The 19757-nt window shown below is 44.1% G+C and overlaps 1 protein-coding gene across 52 annotated transcripts in view; it reads right to left on the reverse strand.

Moving 5' to 3' along the window:
* Window positions 1-200: 200 nt before the first annotated feature.
* The window catches only part of SYNRG (synergin gamma), a 94612-nt gene continuing 75055 nt past the window's right edge, over window positions 201-19757 (reverse strand). For 24 of the 52 annotated variants that reach the window (XM_047435247.1, XM_047435246.1, NM_001163545.3 and 21 more), the window contains 3 exons: window positions 5932-6042; window positions 5573-5608; window positions 201-4465 (listed from right to left, as the gene is read on the reverse strand). In XM_047435247.1, coding sequence (XP_047291203.1) covers window positions 4334-4465; window positions 5573-5608; window positions 5932-6042 — 279 coding nt within the window. In that variant the 3' untranslated portion in view covers window positions 201-4333. Of the gene's footprint in view, window positions 4466-5572; window positions 5609-5931; window positions 6043-15176; window positions 15246-19757 lie in introns of all 52 variants that reach the window. The other 28 variants (XM_047435249.1, XM_017024102.1, XM_017024101.2 and 25 more) reach the window with 2 other exon arrangements.

The raw sequence follows: 19757 nt of genomic DNA on the forward strand, positions 1-19757 counted from the left end.
TTCTTGGTAATTAATGAAAATTACCTGTAGAATTCCTGGCAAGCAGCACTACGGGGCTGTAACTAAGAGTTCCTCGCACGTGGGAAGCTGAACACCTTTGTAATCTTAAGCGCATGGGCCCCTGTTCATCCTAGTGACTTGCATCTATGTGAAATCAACCCAACAAAGACAAGACCAAGAAAAGGCTTAGTAGCCTGACATTCTTCTACACTTGTATTTTGGTTAGAGAAGTTTAACAAGGGGTGATTTCAGAACAGACCCTGAAAATATTTTAAAGGTAAAGCTTTATAATGTCTAAACACATCAATTAGAGCAGTTGTTTATTAAAATACAAACAAGGGAGAAACCACACCATCTTTTAAAATACAGGCGCGAATTCCACATCACGCAGAAGACAACGCATTTCGCTAAGGGCCACAGCATTCACTGGTTAATAAAGCCACAGCTACAAAGTAATGAGATGTCCCACATGAATACTTTTTAACCACTTACATTCACGTCAACATATAAATAATGGAATTAAGTAAAAACTTCATTATAATGCTATTTTGTTAGAAAAGTATTTGTAAAGTGGCATTTTTCCCCCAAGAGCTGTTTCACTTAAGCTTTATTTCCTCGGCCTGGCAAGGGGAGGGCTTTTCAGTATTGTTATTTGGTACACACTTACCTGAAGAAATAAGTAAGTAACTTAAACATAAAAAACATAGTCGACACACATCTTGCCCTGCATTCTGACATTTGCTGGAATGGTCTACAGCAGGCTACAATGCTCCCTTCTGAATGGCAAATGTCTGAAAATGTCAGTTTATTAACTGTTCACAAAGGCAGGCATTTGACCTTGAAGGTGTTAAAGGGAATTTTTTATTTTTGAGACAGAGTTTCGCTCTTGTTGCCCAGGCTGGAGTGCAGTGGCGCGATCTCGGCTCACTGCAACCTCCGCCTCTCTGGTTCAAGCAATTCTCCTGCCTCAGCCTCCCGAGTAGCTCGGATTACAGGCACCTGCCACCATGCCCAGCTAATTTTTGTATTTTTAGTAGAGACAGGGTCTCGCCATGTTGGCCAGGCTGGTCTTGAACTCCTGACCTCGGGTGATCCACCCGGCTCGGCCTCCCAAAGTGCTGGGGATTACAGGCGTGAGCCACCACGCCCGGCTAAAGGGAATTTTTGTAGTGGTCCCCAGTACAGGGCCAGCATTTCCTATTTCTGTAACATACAGCCCTATAATCTTTGCAAAGCTGAAGTACACTTGAAATAGGCAAACAGAAGACACCTTTAAACAAATAAGACCCCCCCAAAACCCTTCAAATATGTATATGTACACAAAATATTCAAATAATTAAAAATTCACAACCCCTATGGAATGCTAACTAGTAGCCACAGGAAAAATAAAGCATGGAAAATATCCTCATATATCCAGTACCTCTTCTATCTCAAGCATGTCCAGACAAAAATTAAATTACACACTAAGCCATAAAAATTTTAAAGGCAAAACATCCCACCAAAAAAAGAAAAGTGCTTATTAATGGCCATTCAAGCAGTGGGGTGAAGCGGGCTGACACAATGCACAGTATGGAAATAAGTAACCTTGGCTACAGTTTCCAAGGACACGGGGCTCCTGGCTGACAAGAAGAGCTGAGGTGAAGCTGAATGCAGCGTTGAGCCATTTTAATAAACGTTTATAAAGAAAAGCAGCGCAACCGTGTCCCACACTCCTTGGATCCCTATTGGTGGCATCTAATTAAACATTTCAAGTATTCAAGAGATATGAAAGGTAGTGAATACTTTTCATAGCAAAGGCTTTTTTTCTGTTGACATCTGCTGAATTTTCCTGTGGCACCTCCCAAGGAGTGACTAAGCCTACCATCCTTGGTAAGGAAAATGGGGATTATACTAAGGAATTTTATCTGAGGCATTCTGGAATTTCTCAGGAATAGAAACCAGCCCAGCTACCAAGTGAGCTTTTTAAAATGTTGATACTGGGCCACTGTGACATGACAGGCATCTATATAGCATTTCAAAAAAATGCTTCAGCAATACAAATTCAAACTGGGAAACTTTTTTTTTTTTTTTTTTAAGAGACAGTGTCTCGCTCTGTCATCACCTACGCTGTCACGTGCAGCCTCAAACTCCTGGACTTGTGATCTCCCGCCTCAGCTTACCTAGTAGCTGGGACCACGAATGTCCACAGATGCACTCCACCTACCCGGCTAATTATTTTTTGTATAATTAGCTGGGGTCTTTACCATCATGCCCAGGGCTGGTCTCTAACTCCTGGGAAACATTCTTATTGCAAAGGTAGATTCTGCTGTCATGGTTCTGTTATGAAATTTAGGCCAGGCGCAGTGGCTCACGCCTGTAATCCCGGTACTTTGGGAGGCTGAGGCGGGCGGATCGCCTGAGGTCCGGAGTTCAAGCCTGGCCAACATGGAGAAACCTTGCCTCTACTAAAAATACAAAATTAGCTGGGCGTGGTGGTGCACGCCTGTAATCCCAGCTACTCACGAGGCTGAGGCAGGAGAATCGCTTGAACCCGGGAGGCGGAGGTTGCACTGAGCTGAGATTGTGCCATTGCACTCAAGCCTGGGCAACAAGAGTGAAACTCCATCTCAAAAAAAAACAAAGAATTTTTAAGGCCAATTAGCAGCCTGCTTGCATTCCAGCTCCATGTGGAAGTGGTGCTGTCCAGGATGGAAGCGCCGAGGCCTCAGGAAAAGCCTGCCAAAAGCTGTCCCACTTGTGTTGTTAGAAACACCCCACTAGCCTTGTGGTGGGCAAAAGCTCCAAAGGTGCCCATTCAGAGTGAGCTGCCTCAGTCAGGAATGGCCAGAGACGGTATCATCGGGAGCGAGTGAGAAAAGCCTTTCTCTCCTCGGTGCCTCTCTGTGCATTCGGGCACGCAGAAGGTCAAGCAGAAGCCTCAGCAACAGCTGTTTAATGAAAATGTTCCACACCTTTCTTGGAGAACATGGAAAAGCTGTAAGATGGAGCAAGACAGAATTTGTCCTGAGAGGGGAAAATAAATTATGTAAAAGCAGCAATTATATAGACAAGACCAACTTTTTCAGTTTAAAAATAAAAGTCTAGGTCAGAGGGTCTAAACCACACAAAGTAAAGCACACGAGATTGAAAAATCTCTTCATAAAGCGCATAATCAACAATTCAGAGAGACGTGTGCCCTAGATTGGTAGTTCTTCCCAGGAATAACACAGCTCTTAGCCACTTGGGTTTTTCCCCTAATTTTATGCATTCACATTAAATGGCAAAGACAATTCCCTACTCCAGGAAGCATGAGCCTTTTCTATCTAAAATTCAGTACTGTTTCTGGACAATTTTCTTCTACTTCTTCTAAGTCATGTATCTATCCCATAAATATACATCTTGATACTTTACACTAGGCCGAGAGCTCCACATTTTCACCCTGAATTAATTTTCAGGTTTTTCTCACAGATACTGCAAAGTCAGGCAGTGTTGGTCCCTATGCAGTCATCTTTGGAAATTTGGAGAGAGGCCACTGCAAAGAGATTTCATTCCACTGCCTTTCCAAATCTTGTCTGAGAAAACTCCATGGTCACAGTCTTTGCATGCGGCAGAACAGGTTTGCAGCGAAGGCTCCCGGGGGGAAGGATATTATCCTAATACACAGGATTTGGGCCTCTGTCAAAATGAGCATTCTTCACGGCTGCAGAGTGCCCAGGCATGTTTTGGGAAAAAGTCTTGAGAGTGGACAGAAGTGAAGGGAAGGAGTAGAGAACTGGTTCAGTTGTGACAACCAAGTGGGTAAAATCTGCCCTCACCTGCCTGCTACTGTCCAGGGGAGATGGGCAGAATCTTCTCCATAAAAAGCAGAACATCAGTTTAATCGCAATTTCCTCTTTTTATTCATTTCAGACATTAACAAACTAAATGCAGATAAATGTATTCTACTTCACAGGACAGTAAGTGTCCTAGATAAAAACAAGCACTGGCTCCAAGCAGTCGCCCATTCTAGTCCCGCAACGGTAATCTATTTTTCTTCAAATGTCAGTTCTTCACAGTTTCAATACTGCAGCAGCAAGTTCTTCCTTAGATCAAGAAAGCCGTGGTCCGTATTTCAGAAAATCTTAAGTAGAGATAAGTGAGCAAGCTTCTGGTGCCACGTGCAGTTTGGGTGGGACAATTTTACCTGAAGTCCTGCAGACTGGCCGTGGGGATGACGGGGGCCCCGTCCCTTGCGGTGTTCTTCATATCGATTCAGGGAAGCGAACTGTGCAGTGCTCGCATTCTATTTATTGGTCCCTGTCACCCCGTGGGGTGTCACAGAAAAAAAAAAGTCAATGCTTCACAGAGGAGTTGTTCAGAGCAGGTCAGGCAGGACGAGGCCAGGAGGCTTTGGTTCGACACAGTTGATCCAGAAGTTGGCACAGCTGGCGTGATACTGGTGCCCTCCATAGGCCAGCTTGAAACTGTCTGTTTCTGAGTTGAATGCCTGCCAGAAATAAACAGAGATGTGGGGCAAGTCAGGCTTTTTCTGCATCTCAGAGCTTTTCAGCAACCAACATGTACATCTATCTCTCCAGGTCACAGAGGCTGAGGCCAAAATGGCACACACATAAAAGCTGAGCGGATAGCTACAGGAATTCAAGAGAGAAGGTTTTTTACTGCTAATTAAAGGTATAAAATTGTTACCACTAAACCTAGTTTCAGCAAAAGGTGGCCAAATCTTCCATGGAAAAGGCAGACAGAGGTTATGGGGTGGAGGGGGGGAATCATGATAAGGGGAACTGAAGTAGCCAAGGGCTGTGGATAGCTTTCATCCCTCACTGTGCTGAAGGAAGCCCTCCTCCTAAGGCCGGCATCTGACTACAGCATGCAATCCTTTACACTCCTGTAGCTGACCACAAGCCTATCATGACAAAAAATTACAAGAGAGTTAGAGAACGAGAGAGTTAGAAAACGAGAGAGTTAGAGAACGACAGATAACAACTCTTAGGGTCTAATGGCATTGACCCTAATGCCTAATGAATCTACATTATCAAAAAGTCCAAACAGGTATGGAGTTAAAAAAAAATGCCTCGAAATGAATGGGCATTAAACACATAAGAATTATTTCCAGATGAACAGGCTTATCAGTAAGCTACAGTCAGCCATGGAAAAGTAGAGTCCAAACCTCAACCACTTCCTGGGGTTAGTTTTCTAATATGCACTGCAAATAAACAAAACTCTAAAACCCAATTTGCTGCTTGTCTGTTAAAATGGCTAAATGGCTACATCCTGAAGCTCTTTGATCTCCATCTGTGTGTCACTACAACTTCCAGGCTTCCAGAAGTTGCTCATTCTGTCACCCCATTCATCACAGAGAAAAATAACTGCAACACCAGAAGCCAATTATGTGAAACAAGCATGCAAATAAGACAGAAGTGGACCCACACAGACACATTAGGAGACTCCATCAAACATTATGGGAACAAAACTGACTCAGTGAAGGATTCATGATTGGAACAGTTCAGGATGGCAATGGATAGAATCATCCAATTTGCCCTCCACACTCAAAATTAAAATGGAGACGCTAAGATAAGGTGTAACTGGTTCATACTTTTTTAGGATGTTCTTCTGCAGGCTTCTCTTCTTTCTGAAATAACGTTGAAACCACAGGTCAACAACATTCCCAGAACAGGGCCTCTTGCCTCCAAACACATCTTTACAGGTTCACCCTTTTCCCCTGACCTCCCCACTATGCACAGGGTGCTGCAGGCATGAGAGCCGCGTCCATTCCCTCCACAGCTCCCCCGCTGCCCTCTCGAGGGAATGTGTCTGCTCCTACCATCAGCTTTTAGGACTTGAGAAAATCCCCACCTCTGGTCACAAACTCTGCAGTAAAGTGGGCCAGATGAGGTTGTCCAGAGTCATGTTAGGGAAGCCCTTTGCTGTCTGCAAGGAGGCTGCGTGACTTACCCGGCTCCTCGAGTCCACATTCAAGAGGCACACTCCACAGGCAAGCTCCTGAGCATTTTTAATCCCAGGCCGTAACATACAGGAGGAAAAATCCAGCGAGTTTTCATCTGGCTGTGAGGACGACAAGACAAATGGGTAAGAAGTCCACAAGTCCACACGCTGTTCACTTCACTCCCTCATCACTCACCCCCAGCAGGCCTAGCGGCAAGTACAGTACTCTAACACCACCACTACAAGAATTAACCTCCCACACATCCACTGGGAACCTGCCACGGTTCCAGGTGCTAGGAAGGCCGGCACCAGTACAACACGCCCTCTGACCTCTGAGAACTCAGTCTCAGGTGGGCGCCAGGGGAGCCCGTGCAGTGCCATGAGTGCTGGGTGTGCTTACTTGGGGGAAGTCCTGAGTGCCAGGGCACAAGGGAGCGGCACTTAGCCCAACTCGAGGAGGATGGGGCCTGAAGCCAGAGACTGCGTCCTAGAACTTTTTCTTTTCTTTTTTTTTTTTTTTTGGAGACAGAGTCTCACTCTGTCGCCCAGGCTGGAGTGCAATGGTGTGATCTCAGCTCACGGCAACCTCTGCCTCCCGGGTTCAAGCGATTCTCCTGCCTCAGCCTTCTGAGTAGCTGGGATTACAGGCGCGCCACCACGTCTGGTTAATTTTGTATTTTTAGTAGAGACAGGGCTTCACCATGTTGGTCAGGCTGGTCTTGAACTCCTGATTGCAGGTGATCCACCCGCCTCAGCCTCCCAAAGTGGTGGGATTACAGGCATAAGCCACCGTGCCTGGCCTGCTTCCTAGATTCTAAAATCACCTTGGCTGAGTGTAGATGGGAGCTGCTAGGTGAGGGGGACAGGAGGGTTGGGTGAGGTAGGGGAGGGAAGGATATTCTATGCAGAACAAGCAGCACAGGCAAAGGCTCTGAGCTAAAGATGGGGTATGGGAAGGAATCTAGAGGGTGGGGGCAGGGCCCAGGGAAAGAGGAGATGAAGCCGCAGCACGAGGACTCCAAGGAAGATAAGGAGCATCCTGGAAGCCACTAAGGCTTCCAACTGGATCACGACAGGCCCAGGTTCGTATTACTGACAGATCCCTCTCGCTACAGTATAGGCAATGAATTGGGGGTGGCAATCCTCAGGGCACAGGCCTCAGCCAGAAGTCTGCTGTAGCAGTCCTGGAGACAGATACCGATGGTCAGAATGAAGGCAGCGGCGGTGGGGAATGGAGAGAAATGGGCACGTGAAAGAGCTGACGAGGCAGGAGAATGAGCAGGCCTGGGTGACCTGCTGGATGGGAGAGGTTGGGGGACCCGGGCAGCTGAGAGGATTCACCATAATAAGACACGTGAGAGAAGGACCAGGTTTGAGGATGGAAGCTGAGGAGAAGAGTTCAGTTTGGTCCAAGCTGAGCTGGAGCTGCCTGTGGGACAGCGAAGGCCACATGCTATATAAGCAGGTGGTTGGATACACATACAGGCCTCCTGCTTGTGGAGAGATCTGAAGGTCACCAGCTAAAGACCATAAATAGAACAACAGCTAATACGCCCTTACTTTCAAGCACTATACTAAGCTCTTTATATGCATTATCTAATTCACTACACACACACACACACACACACAATGGTTAAAAGGGTAGGTCTCAATCTTGGAAAGCCGTCCAGTCACTCTGTTGCTCAGGCTGGAGTACAGTGGCGTGATCACAGCTCACTGCAGCCTTGAATTCCTGGGCTCAAGAGATCCTCAGCCTCTCAAATAGCTGGGGCCACATGTGCATGCCACCACGCCCAGCTAATTTTTTGATTTTTTTGTAAAGATGATTATCTCCCTATGTTGCCCAGGCTGATCCTGAACTCCTGGGCTCAAGTGGTCCTCCCAAAGTGGTGGGTTTACAGGCATGAGCCACTGTGCCCGGCCCCGCAGCACACTTTTATTTTTATTTATTTATTTTGAGACAGGGTCTCACTCTGTTGCCCAGGCTGGAGTGTGGTGGTGTCATCTTGGCTCACTGCAGCCTCCGCCTCCTGGGCTCAAGCAATCCTCCCGCCTCAGCCTCCTGAGTAGCTGGGACTACAGGTGTGCACCACCATGCCCAGCTAACACTTTTTTTTTTTTTTTTTTTTTGAGGTGGAGTCTTGCTCTGTAGCCCAGGCTGGAGTGCAGTGGCGCAATCTCGGCTCACTGCAAGCTCCACCTCCTGGGTTCAAGGGATGCTTCTGCCTCAGCCTCCCAAGTAGCTGGGACTATAGGCGTGCACCACCACACCTGGCTAATTTTTGTATTTTGAGTAGAGACGGGGTTTCACCATATTGGCCAGGCTGGTCTTGAACTCCTGACCTCGTGATCTGTCCACCTTGGCCTCCCAAAGTGCTGGGATTACAGGTGTGAGCCACCGTGCCTGGCCACACACTTTTAAGTTTAATCTGCACTAATAACATTTTCTCCATCACTTTTTAGCACTGAGGACATCCCTCAGTCCTGACCAAACAGGGACAGTTGGTTGCCCTGTGATAGACATAAATAACCCTGAAAGCTAGACAAGAGTAAAATTTAAGAACTAGAATGTTTTAAGTATTACCACTATTTTTAATATAATATATGTAACTGCAAGTTTATATCATTTGTGTTTTGTCTTGCTTTTGAGATAGAATCTCACTCTGTCACCCAGGGTGGAGTGCAGGGGCGTGTGTGATCATGGCTCACTGCAGCCTCAAACTCTTGGGATCAAGCAATCCTTTTGCCTCAGCCTCCTGAGTAGCTGGGACTACAGGTGTGTGCCACTACACCTGGCTACTTTTTATTTTTAGTAGAGATGAGGTCTCGCTATGTTGCCCAGGCTGGTCTAGAACTTCTGGCCTCAAGCAATCCTCCCACCTCAGCTTTCCAAAGTGTTGGAATTAGAGGCATGAGCCACTGCACCCAGTCTTCATTTAATTTTTAGTAATAACGGTGTTTAACAACTGGCTCATAAAATTCCTGAACATTTAACAATCCACTCTTGCAAGCCAGTAAGAACTGGATTTAACACACTAGTGCGACAGAATGGAATCTCAGGTGGGAGCCTAGAAGTTGAGGAGTTCCTCTCAGAGGGCTCATCCTCACTCTAATGCAGGAGGTGAGATCATCAGCTGTGTCTGAAATAGCAGTAGCCTTGTGAGCTCCAAGCAGCAAACTCTGGAGGTGTGATTGTCTCCACCAGCACACAGTGGGTCAAGGTGGGGGGAGAAGGTGGATGGCTGCACTGATTCCAGTTGGGTTTGGTCTAATGAGTATGACTGAAGGGAGTGAGGAGGGATGCCCCATGCACTGTGGAGAGTAAGGAGGTGAGAAAAGAAGTGAAGACAGAAGAGGGCTGACAGGAACACAGTAAAAGAGACAACATCCTGTCTTGAGAACCAAAAACAAGAGCAGTGCCAGTGAAGAGTGAGACAACGGGAGGGTCGCCAATCTGGACTCAGGAAGTTCGATGTCGGGGCTCGAGACTGCACAGGCGCTGCACAATGTTTGCTAACACAGCCCATCGTGGTGATGCCAGTGGGTGGCTGAAGTGCAGGGGAAGCGAGGGCTCTGTGGGCCAGGCAGTCAAGCATCTGGGAGCCTGGCATGGCAGTTGGTTTGTCTTCATGGATACTGAGGTGACCCAGGATGATGGCAAATTCCTGCCAAATTAACAGCTACATTTCCCATAGTTCTTCCAGTCTGAACCACTGAGGAGTTTCCACGTCGTTTTTGAGCAACAAAGCAAAATTATATGATCTGTATTTTTCCTCACCAGGAAAAAAAAAGATTTCTCCTTATAAAAATGTGTAGATTATGTATGATGTTCCCTGTTCCTTTCTAATTTGAAATAATAAACCATGAACTAGCTCCACAAATCTTTCTTAAACACATTTGAGCTAGATCCACTGAGATCACAGCAGGGGAAGGAAGAACACACGGTTTTCAGAGAAGAAAAGGTGAGGTGTATGTTTCAACTGTGTGCAAAAGGACTCTGGTGTAGGTGATCAAAGTAAACTTACATGGCCTTAGCCAAGTCATAGGATATTTTTTCTTTTCTCTCTTTTCTTTTGTAGTGCAACTGTGGTCACTCTGGTCAAATGTGGAAGACGCTGGTGCTAACGCTTGTTCTGCAGTCAGTCATCTGTAAAATGGTAACTATTTCACTTGCCCTACACCTCTCTCCCATTTCTATATATCTCAGATGGACATAAAACATGCTCTGGAAGTGAAAAGTAGTCTATATGATGATCACAATTATTCACTTTGACGAACTCTTAGCAAGCTTTTAAAAGAGGTTAAAACATAGTATCATCTCTGTAATCCACATTACAGATAGTCATCATGTTACTGAATCAGGGCTATTTGAGAAATAATTAGAATCTGGGAAAACTCTGAATCCTGAAATCAATCAAATTAATAGAAGCCCCTTAATATCTGTTTACCAAAGGCATAAGGAAAGCAAATGAAAAGATCATACTGTAATCGCCAATGAAAACCATAAGGCTCTGCATAAATGACCCTGTGATCAAATTACTCTTTCAGCTGACAAAATTAACCTTCTTAAGTACACATGTATAAACAGGGTGTTTATTGTAGTGTAATATTAACAGTTTGGCACCAATCATATAAGATAACAGTTTGGCTGTCATCATATAAGAAGGTATGCCCTCTACAAGTCACCTTAAATTGATCATCTCCTTATTTGGCAAGTATTTCATGCATTTAGTTAAGATTTAAAAAAATATATACATATTATATATGGCCTACTGACACTGATAAGTCCCAATGTCAGACTGAGATATATAATCCTGAATCTTTAGCCTACAATAAACTGCTACAATGGTGTCCAGGAAGATCCTTATTAAGGAAGAAGAGTTTGGTAGTAATTAGTGTTCTTCACCAATAATCTTTCTCCTTTTTATGGAATGGTAGGATGGGCCTTCCCTGCCCCTTTTTCAATCAGGCATTGGCCTGTAACTTGCCACAGTCAATAACTAAGCAAAAGTCACACGTAAGCCGGGAGTATGGTGGCTCACACCTGTAACCCCAGCACTTTGGGAGGCCGAGGTGGGTGGATCACCTGAGGTCAGGAGTTCAAGACCAGCCTGGCCAACATGGCAAAGCCCCGTCTCTACTAAAAATACAAAAAAATGCCGGGAGCGGTGGCTCACACCTGTAATCTCAGCACTTTGGGAGGCCAAGGCGGGCGGATCACGAGGTCAGGCTTTGGAGACCAGCCTGGCCAACATGGTGAAACCCCGTCTCTACTAAAAATACAAAAATTAGCCAGGTGTGGTGGCGCTTGCCTGTAATCCCAGCTATTCAGGAGGCTGAGGCAGGAGAATTGCTTGAACCCAGGAGGTGGAGGTTGAAGTGAGCCAAGATCGCGCCATTGCACTCCAGCCTGGGCAACAGAGCGAGACTCCGTCTCAAAAACAAAACAAAACAATTGGCCGGACGTGGTGGCGGGTGCCTGTAATCCCAGCTATTTGGGAAGCTGAGGTAGGAGAATAGCTTGAACCCAAGAGATGGAGGCTGCAGTGAGCTGAGATTGCACCACTGCACTCCAGCCTGGGCAACAGAGGAAGATGCCATCTCAAAAAAAAAAAAAGAGTGTCACCTCTGGGAAGAAGCCTTTAAGACCAATGTGCTATTTCTCATGTTTCCTTGACACTCCCACGGTGACCAGCTATGTTCCACATGGTGGAGGCTCTGTCAACCTGGGTCCCTGGGTAAGGACATGGCACAGAGCCCCCCACCAACTTGAGATGGACACATAGCCTGAGCAAGAAATAAAGCTTTGCTTTTGCTAAGATAGAAGAAACTATTTGTTACTGAAGCATAACCTAGTCTAATTTGACTGATACAAAGGGTGATCTAGACACAGGTTCCATAGGCAATTATAAAGTTTTGGTATTTGCTTGGTTACAATGTCTTGTATAATCTTTCCTATTGCTGCTGTAACAAAGCACAAACTTAATGGCTTAAAACAACATAAATGTATCCTCTTACAGTTGTGGATTTCAGAAGTCTAAAATGGGTGAGAAGGACTGCATTCCTTCTAGGAGTTCTAGGGGAAAATCTGTTTCCTTGCCTTTTCTAGCTTCTAGGGACGACCTCTACATTCCCTGACTTGTGGTCCCATCTTCAAAGCCAGCAGGTAGCATCTGCCACTCTCTTCTTCTCTCTGCTTCTGTTGTCACATCACTTTTTCTCACTCTTCCCCTCCTACCTTCCCCTTCTAAGGATCCATGTGATGACATTGGGGTCACCTGGATAATCCAGGATACCTTCCCCAAAGAAAGGCCTTTAACTTAATCCCATTTGCAAAGGTAACATATTGACAAGTTCCCAGGACATGGGTAGCTTTGAGGGGGCCATCATTCTGTCTACCACAGCTGCCTTCTGTCAACTGAGGACAGCCATGCAGAGACATAGTAAAGATCCTGTCTCTAAAACATTGTGCAGACTGGCAAGATGACAAAAATGCTATCACCATTGAAAATAAACTGTTCTCCTGATATGTCACAGCAATAGGAAATAAGGACTCTGAAATTCACTGGTCAATTTCACATTGAAAGGAAGTAGTAAAGAATTCATATTTCACTGAGGTGAACAGTGGAATCAGAGAGCCTGTATGATTGCCAGTTGACTAAAATTCAGGCGAATAACAACCTTTTCTCTTCTCTTAGATTTTATATGGCAAAAATCGATTAATTTTCCAGGACAGAATTCTCTGTTTGTTCCAAACCTACTGAACTTCAACCCACTTCACAAGATAAAACCTTAGATGACAAGTCACTTGGGAGCCAATCTCAGAGTGCATCACATCTCACTAAACCAGGTGAGTTTCACCTCTTGAGAAAGAAGCAGGCCTTCAGTCTGTGCCTGGAGGAGACATGCTTCTACCACAAGAGGGAGTCTTAGTCCATGGATAAAGAGTATCAAAGAGAAAGAGAGCATAAAGCTTTGCCAGTACAGTCAGCCCTCGGTATCCATGGGTTCCACATCTGTGGGTTCAACCAACCTCAGATCAAAAATATTCGGAGGAAAAAATAGAAAAAAACAAAAATGATACAAATAAAAAAATCCAATACATATAATAACTATTTACGCAGCATTTACATTGTATTAGGTGTTATAAGTAATCTAGAGATTCTTTAAAATACACAGGAGGATGTGCATAGGTTATATGCAAATCCTATGCCATTTCTTATCAGGAACTCGAACGTCTGCAGATTTTTATATCCAGAAATGGGGGATGTCCTGGAACCAATTCCCCCCCCATGGACAGGGGAATGACTGTGTCATTTCCAGCTTAAATAAACATCAAGGAGCCACAATTTGGAGTTTAAGACGGTGTACCCTGCCTTCCTTAGCCCAAGCATGACTACTGTGATGCCGCACTACATTCTGTGACTTTCACTGGAGAAAGTGATGCAGCTGTCTTCCGATAGGAACAGCCTCACAGAGTCTTCATGGGAAGAAATAAGTCATTTTCAGTAACTTAAAAGCTGGAAGTAACATAGAGTAGGAAGAAGAATGGACTCTGAAATGATACAGATTCAAATCACAGACTTGTCAGTTTCAGTCAAGTTTCATCTTCTCAAAGCCCTAATTTCTTCACCTGTAAAACTGAAAATTATACATCTAGAATATAATCTAGCTTCTAGAGATGGCCTCTGCACTTCTTGGCTCGTGGTCCTATCTCAAAGCCAGCAGGTAGCATCTGCCACTCTCTTCTTCTGTCTACTTCTGTTGTCACATCACTTTCTCCCACTCTTCCCCTCCTACCTTCCCCTTATAAGGACTCATCATGTGATTACATGGGGTTACCAGGATTAAATTAGAATGAATGTAAAGCATATAGCACAAGGATCGGCAGGCCCTAGGTGCAAAATATTAATAAATGGTAACCAGTAGTAGTAGTAATAATAGTAATAGTAATAGTAGTAGTATGGAATCAAAGGGCCTCACTGTGGCAATATAGTTCATTTAGGAAGTCATTTACCTGAAATGAAGCAATAGTGTTAAGCATTAAAAGCTTCCCATAAAACCTCAATCATGCCTCTTTCTAATAATGATTTCTCCACTTTGAGCGTCTAATCCAGAGTCCTGGAAGTTTGTATAGTTTTGTTACAAATGATTTGAACTACATAGATGTTGGTTTATGTCATTTACATTTATGCAGCTATTCTTATCAGTTCTGCTAGAGTAAAGGCTTCTTCATGACAAGTAACACCTTACACTATTTCTGTGGAATGTGTGCTATTCCTCATGTAGTGGGCAACTCAAGTTTCACAGACAGAGGACACACCTAGCAGTTATCAAGGGTACAATGACATGGTATAATCTGGGCAAAGAATGATTGTTGTTCTGTCATGGCTAACCTAGTGAAAAAAGCAATTATAACGGAAAGCACATGGGTAATTAGAGAAATGAATACTCTGGTGTTCAGGTTCAATTTACAATACATTCCTGTGTTGTCAAGTTGGAAGATTAATTCATCTCTATAACCTTACCTGGTGTCTTGAAAAACAAAAGTTAGGTAAAACCACTCTTTAGCATCTAGACACTGATGCTAGAAAAGGATGCTTGGAATGGGAGTCTGAGGGAAGGGCATAAATGCCCAGCCCTTTTCTCCATTTACCTCATATTTGTTTACACTAAAGGAGTAAGCGCCACCGTATGTGAACAGGGCAACGCTCCAGGTTAGATGGGCCCCAAACCCAATAGGCTTTCTTCAAAATAACAAAATCAAATTCCAAGGTCTCTTTAAAAAGGTCTGGATAAAACTGATCCTTGGTATAAAAAAACAATCACACCAGGGATTATATCTGAGTAGGGTGATGATTGGGAAGGTGCATAAGAAAACTTCTGGAATGATGGAGTAGTCTATATCTTGATAGAGGCATGGGTTATATGAGGGTATGCATTTTTCAAAACTCATTGAGTGGTACAACCAAGATTTTCGCATTTTATTGTACATGTATATATATTTTACAAAAAAAAAAAAAAAAAGAAAAGAAAAGGTGTGGAGGGGTGTTCAGAGTCTAGAAGGTGCAGCTGTAGCAAGCTTGTAGCCACAGGAGCTTGGGAAAAGGTACAAAAATGAAACTGGCTTGCACTTCACCTGGTGAGAGGAGCTACCTCAAGAAGTAAACGCACAGCAGCAACCCAGGAATCTCCCCACTTATCCTTTCCCCCAAATTCACAAGCTTGGCAAGTACGCCTGGTCTCTGTGATACCTTTTCTTCTAAGAGCTCATGGTAAGGAGAGAGATGCTTTGTAATCACAGTCATCTTTTCCCAGCAGCACTAGGAGAGAAGAGATGGGTGGCTGATTTGGGGGTTGTATAGAAATCTAGTTTTCAAGTGTTAACTGCAGTAAGAACCGATTGCCACCCAAACAAAGAACCTTAAAATCTAAATGTAAAGAAGGAGGCTTTTAAGTTACTCTACAGTCCTGGTATATATATGTACAAGAGCAATGTGCAGAAAAGAACTCGACTGTTTATAACAAGTTGCTGCCAGAAAAGACTCCTGGTGTTTGAACTCATTAACCTTGATGCCAAAATCGACCCACTCCCCCCGACAAAAACTTTAGTACCTGTCTGGTTTTACCCACCCAACCTGTCCCTCTGAAGGAGGCCACAAGGAATAGAGGTTGAGAAAGTTGACTTCTGACTTTCAGAATAAACCCAGGCCTCACCAGTATCTCTGTGCTTCAGTTTCTTCATCTGTAAACGGGGAGAACAGAAGTATCTACTCCTATGATGATATTCAGGCTTAATCTGCTCCATATTAGGACAAGGTCAGGAAGCAGCAGGTGGGTGAATTAGGAAAGACACAGACACATACTGATCTCCAGGTTCACAAATGGTGACACATCCTTCTCTACCCCACAGCTTCACAGGCACCCTCGGCACATATCACTAGCGAATCAATTTCATTAGTAGCTGGAGCTCAGGAAGTAAATGCAGAGTTTAATGCATTTCTCTGATCCAGAGGATAATGAACTGAATTCCAGAAGCTCAAAGAAAATTGGAGGACTGCAGTAAACACGTGCTTTTTCTCCCAAGTTCCTTGGATTAGTCATCATAACAGTTAACCAATCCATTAAGGACAGAACTGGAAGACTCTCATTCAGACCCCAAGAATTCTGCCTCTCTGAATGTAAATAGAGAAATAGAGGATAAGTAGTAAACTACCCCCATTCCTTCTCCCCAGCTTCTGTTCGCAATATTCTGATTCAGCTGCCTTTTAGGGGCAGTGATGTGTGGTACTATAGTCCTCCTTAGTCAGGTGGACTGTCAGGACAAAAAATGTCTGGTAGCTTGGGCATGATTCTCCTCTGCTTCAGGAAAGGATGACGGCAGGGTAAAGATGTCAGGTTGCCATGCAGATTTACTGCAATTAAAGTCCCTAAAGTAGTCTGGGCGTGGTGGCTCACACCTGTAATCCCAGCCCTTTGGGAGGTTGAGGTAAGAAGACTGCTTGAGGTCAAGAGTTTGAGACAAGCCTGGGCAACATAGTGAGGCCCTATTCCTACCAAGCCAGGCATGGTGGTGCATGCCTGTAGTCCCAGCTGTGGGAGGTTGAGATGGAAGGATCACTTGAGCCTGGGAGTTCAAGGCTGTAGTGAGCCGTGATTGTGCCACTGCACTCCAGCCTGGGTGACAGTGTGAGACCCTGTCTCTAAACAATGAACAAACAGGTAAATAAATAAAATTCAGTTTTGAGAACTTCATAATCTATCACTACAACGGAAAGGAGAAGTGGGCAAGGGTAACAAGGGCTATCTACAGGGAGGGTTTGTGCAAGTGAATGGAGGGTAATGACACATTTCTCCTACCAGAGTAAAAACACTTGTTTTTCCATTATAAATGCAACAAATGCTATTGAAAGAAAGTTGAAAAAAATGAAAAAACTAAAAGAATATTTAAAAATCCAGTGTTTTGGCTGGACACAGTGGCTCATGCCTGTAATCCCAGTACTTTGGGAGGCCGAGGTGAATGGATTCCTTGAGCCCACGGAGTTTGAGACCAGCCTGAGCAACATGGCAAAACCCTGTCTTTACAAAAAATACAAAAACATTGGCTGGGCTTGGTGGTGTGCACCTGTGGTCCCAGCTACTCAGGAGGCTGAGGTGGGAGAATTGCTAGAGCCCAGGAGGTCAAGGCTGCTGTGAACTGTGATCACGTCATTGTGCTCCAGCATGGGTGACAGAGGGAGACCCTGTCTAAAAAAGAAAAAAAAAAAAATCCAGTGTCTCATCACCCAGACACATCCCTAATATCATTTTGGCAGATTTCCTTCAAGCCCTGTAGTAACACTTCTGTGTCATTCAAACTTCGTGCTCCTTTACAAAATGGCTGCGTAAGATCCTGGGCTAAAGATTCACCACAATTTACTTAACCAATCCTCTAGATTTGGACTTTCAGGTTGTCTCTAATTTTTCACGTTTACAAAGAACAACTTTGTGCACTTAATTTGCTTCTTTCTGTGAATTCATATTTAGAATCGCTGCCTTAGGATATTTTCTCAGATTTGGAATTACTGAGTCAGCTACTCTGAATGCATATTAAGTCCTTTAATTCATTCAACGTTTACTGAGTGTTTACTGAATGTTTACATAGTGCCTGGCACTGTGCTCAGATAAAGAAGAAAAGATGAAAAACACAGTCTTGATCTCTGTCTTCAAGAAGTTCACAGTCAGGGAGAAAGCATGGTGCCAAACTTCTCTTTCCATAGGTGATTCCATCCTACAGTATGTAGTCCACATTTTACCACATCAACACTATTAGTATTCATACAAACAGACCATACAAAAATTGGGCTTAATTAGTAGGCAGGCCGGGCATGGTGGCTCATACCTGTAATGCCTCTAGCACTTTGGGAGGCAGAGGTGGGTGAATTACTTGAGGCCAGGAGTTCGAGACCAGCCTGGCCAACAGGGTGAAACCCTGTCTCTACTAAAAATACAAAAACTAGCTGGGCGTGGTGGCACGCACCTGTAATCCCAACTACTTGGGAGGCTGAGGCATGAGAATTGCTTTAATCTGGGAGGCGGAGGTTGCAGTGAGCCGAGATTGCACCATTGCACTCCAGCCTGAGTGACAGAGTGAGATCTGTCTCAAAAAAAAAAAAAAAAAAAAAAAATTAGTAGGTAAAAAATGAAACCTTGTTTTAATTTGAATTTATGTTTACTGATTAATTGTACCTCCCCTTTTATGAATCACTTCACGTTTTTGCTCATACGTTACTGGGATGTTGGTATATTTCTCATTGATTTGTATGCTTCCTTTACAGAGCAAAGACATGAGCCTGCCATCTGTATGCACTACTACACCTCCTAGTTTACAATTTAATCTATTTTTTCCACACTTAAAATGACTTCCACTCATACTTTGGAGTTATGCCATTTGGCCTATATTGAGAAATGTAATAAGAAACTACCCAATGAAAACTGTTGCTTTATTTACTGAAAGGATTTCTCTTTTTTTTTGAAGGCAATGTTGATTATATTAGTTTCCTCTTTATGAGAACCCACAGAAGAAATTTCTTTCTGATATTCGTATCAAGGCCAGGCACAGTGGTTCATGCCTATAATCCCAACACTTTTGGGAGGCCAAGGTGGGTGGATCACTTGAGGCCAGGAGTTTGAGACCAGCCTGGCCAAAATGGCGAGACCCCGTCTCTACCAAAAATATAAAAATTAGCTGGGCGTGGTGGCGCATGCCTGTAATCCCAGCTACTCAGTAGGCTGAGGCGTGAGAATCGCTTGAACCCAGGAGGTGGAGGTTGCAGTGAGCCGAGATCACACCACTTCCCTCCAGCCTGGGTGACAGAGTGAGACTCTGTCTGGGGAAAAAAAAAAACAAAACAGTCTGGTAGAGGTGTGCAGAATAGATTGCTAGGAGATTAAAAAAAAAATGGAACCAGTAACCCTAGCTATGAGGTCAGAAGTTCAAAAGTGATAAGGGCTTGAATTAGTTAATAATTTTTTTAAAAAAGATTTCTAATTTCATTATATTTTCTTTCTTTTCTTTTTCTTTTTTTTTTTTTTTTGAGACAGAGATTCACTCCTGTTGCCCAGGCTGGAGGGCAGTGGTGTGATCTCAGCTCACTGCAACCTCCGACTCCTGGGTTCAAGCAATTCTCCTGCCACAGCCTCCCAAGTAGCTGGGATTACAGGCATGCACCACCACACCCAGCTAATTTTGTATTTTTAGTACAGACGGGGTTGGTCAGGCTGGTTTCGAACTCCCGACCTCAGGTGATCCACCCACCTCGGCCTCCCAAAGTGCTGGGATTACAGGCATCAGCCACTAAGGCCTTCGTTATATTTTCTAACAAAAAAAATAAGGTTTCTAAACTTCATTTTCTTTTCTTTTTTTTTTTTTTTTTTTTTTTTTTGAGACAGAGTCTTGCTCTGTCACCTAGGCTGGAATGCAGTGGCACGATCTCAGCTTACTACAACCTCCATTTCCCGGGTTCAAGCAATTCTCCTGCCTCAGCCTCCTGAGTAGTGGGGATTACAGGCACCCGCTACCATGGCCAGCTAATTTTTTTTTTTTTTGTATTTTTAGTAGAGATGGGGTTTCACCATTTTGGCCAGGCTGGTCTCGAACTCCTGGCCTCAATTGTTCTGCCCGCCTTGGCCTCCCAAAGTGCTGGGATTCAGGCATGAGCCACCATGCCCAGCCTAATTTCATCATATTTTCTAACTACTAATAATATGTAGGATTGTTATGAATTTTTGCCAAATGCAATACATTTAAACTCCTGAATTTAGATTAAAAAATATTTTTTTATCTATCTATCTAT

Source organism: Homo sapiens, chromosome 17 (genome assembly GCF_000001405.40).
Source record: "Homo sapiens chromosome 17, GRCh38.p14 Primary Assembly".
Taxonomy (NCBI): Eukaryota; Metazoa; Chordata; class Mammalia; order Primates; family Hominidae; genus Homo; species Homo sapiens.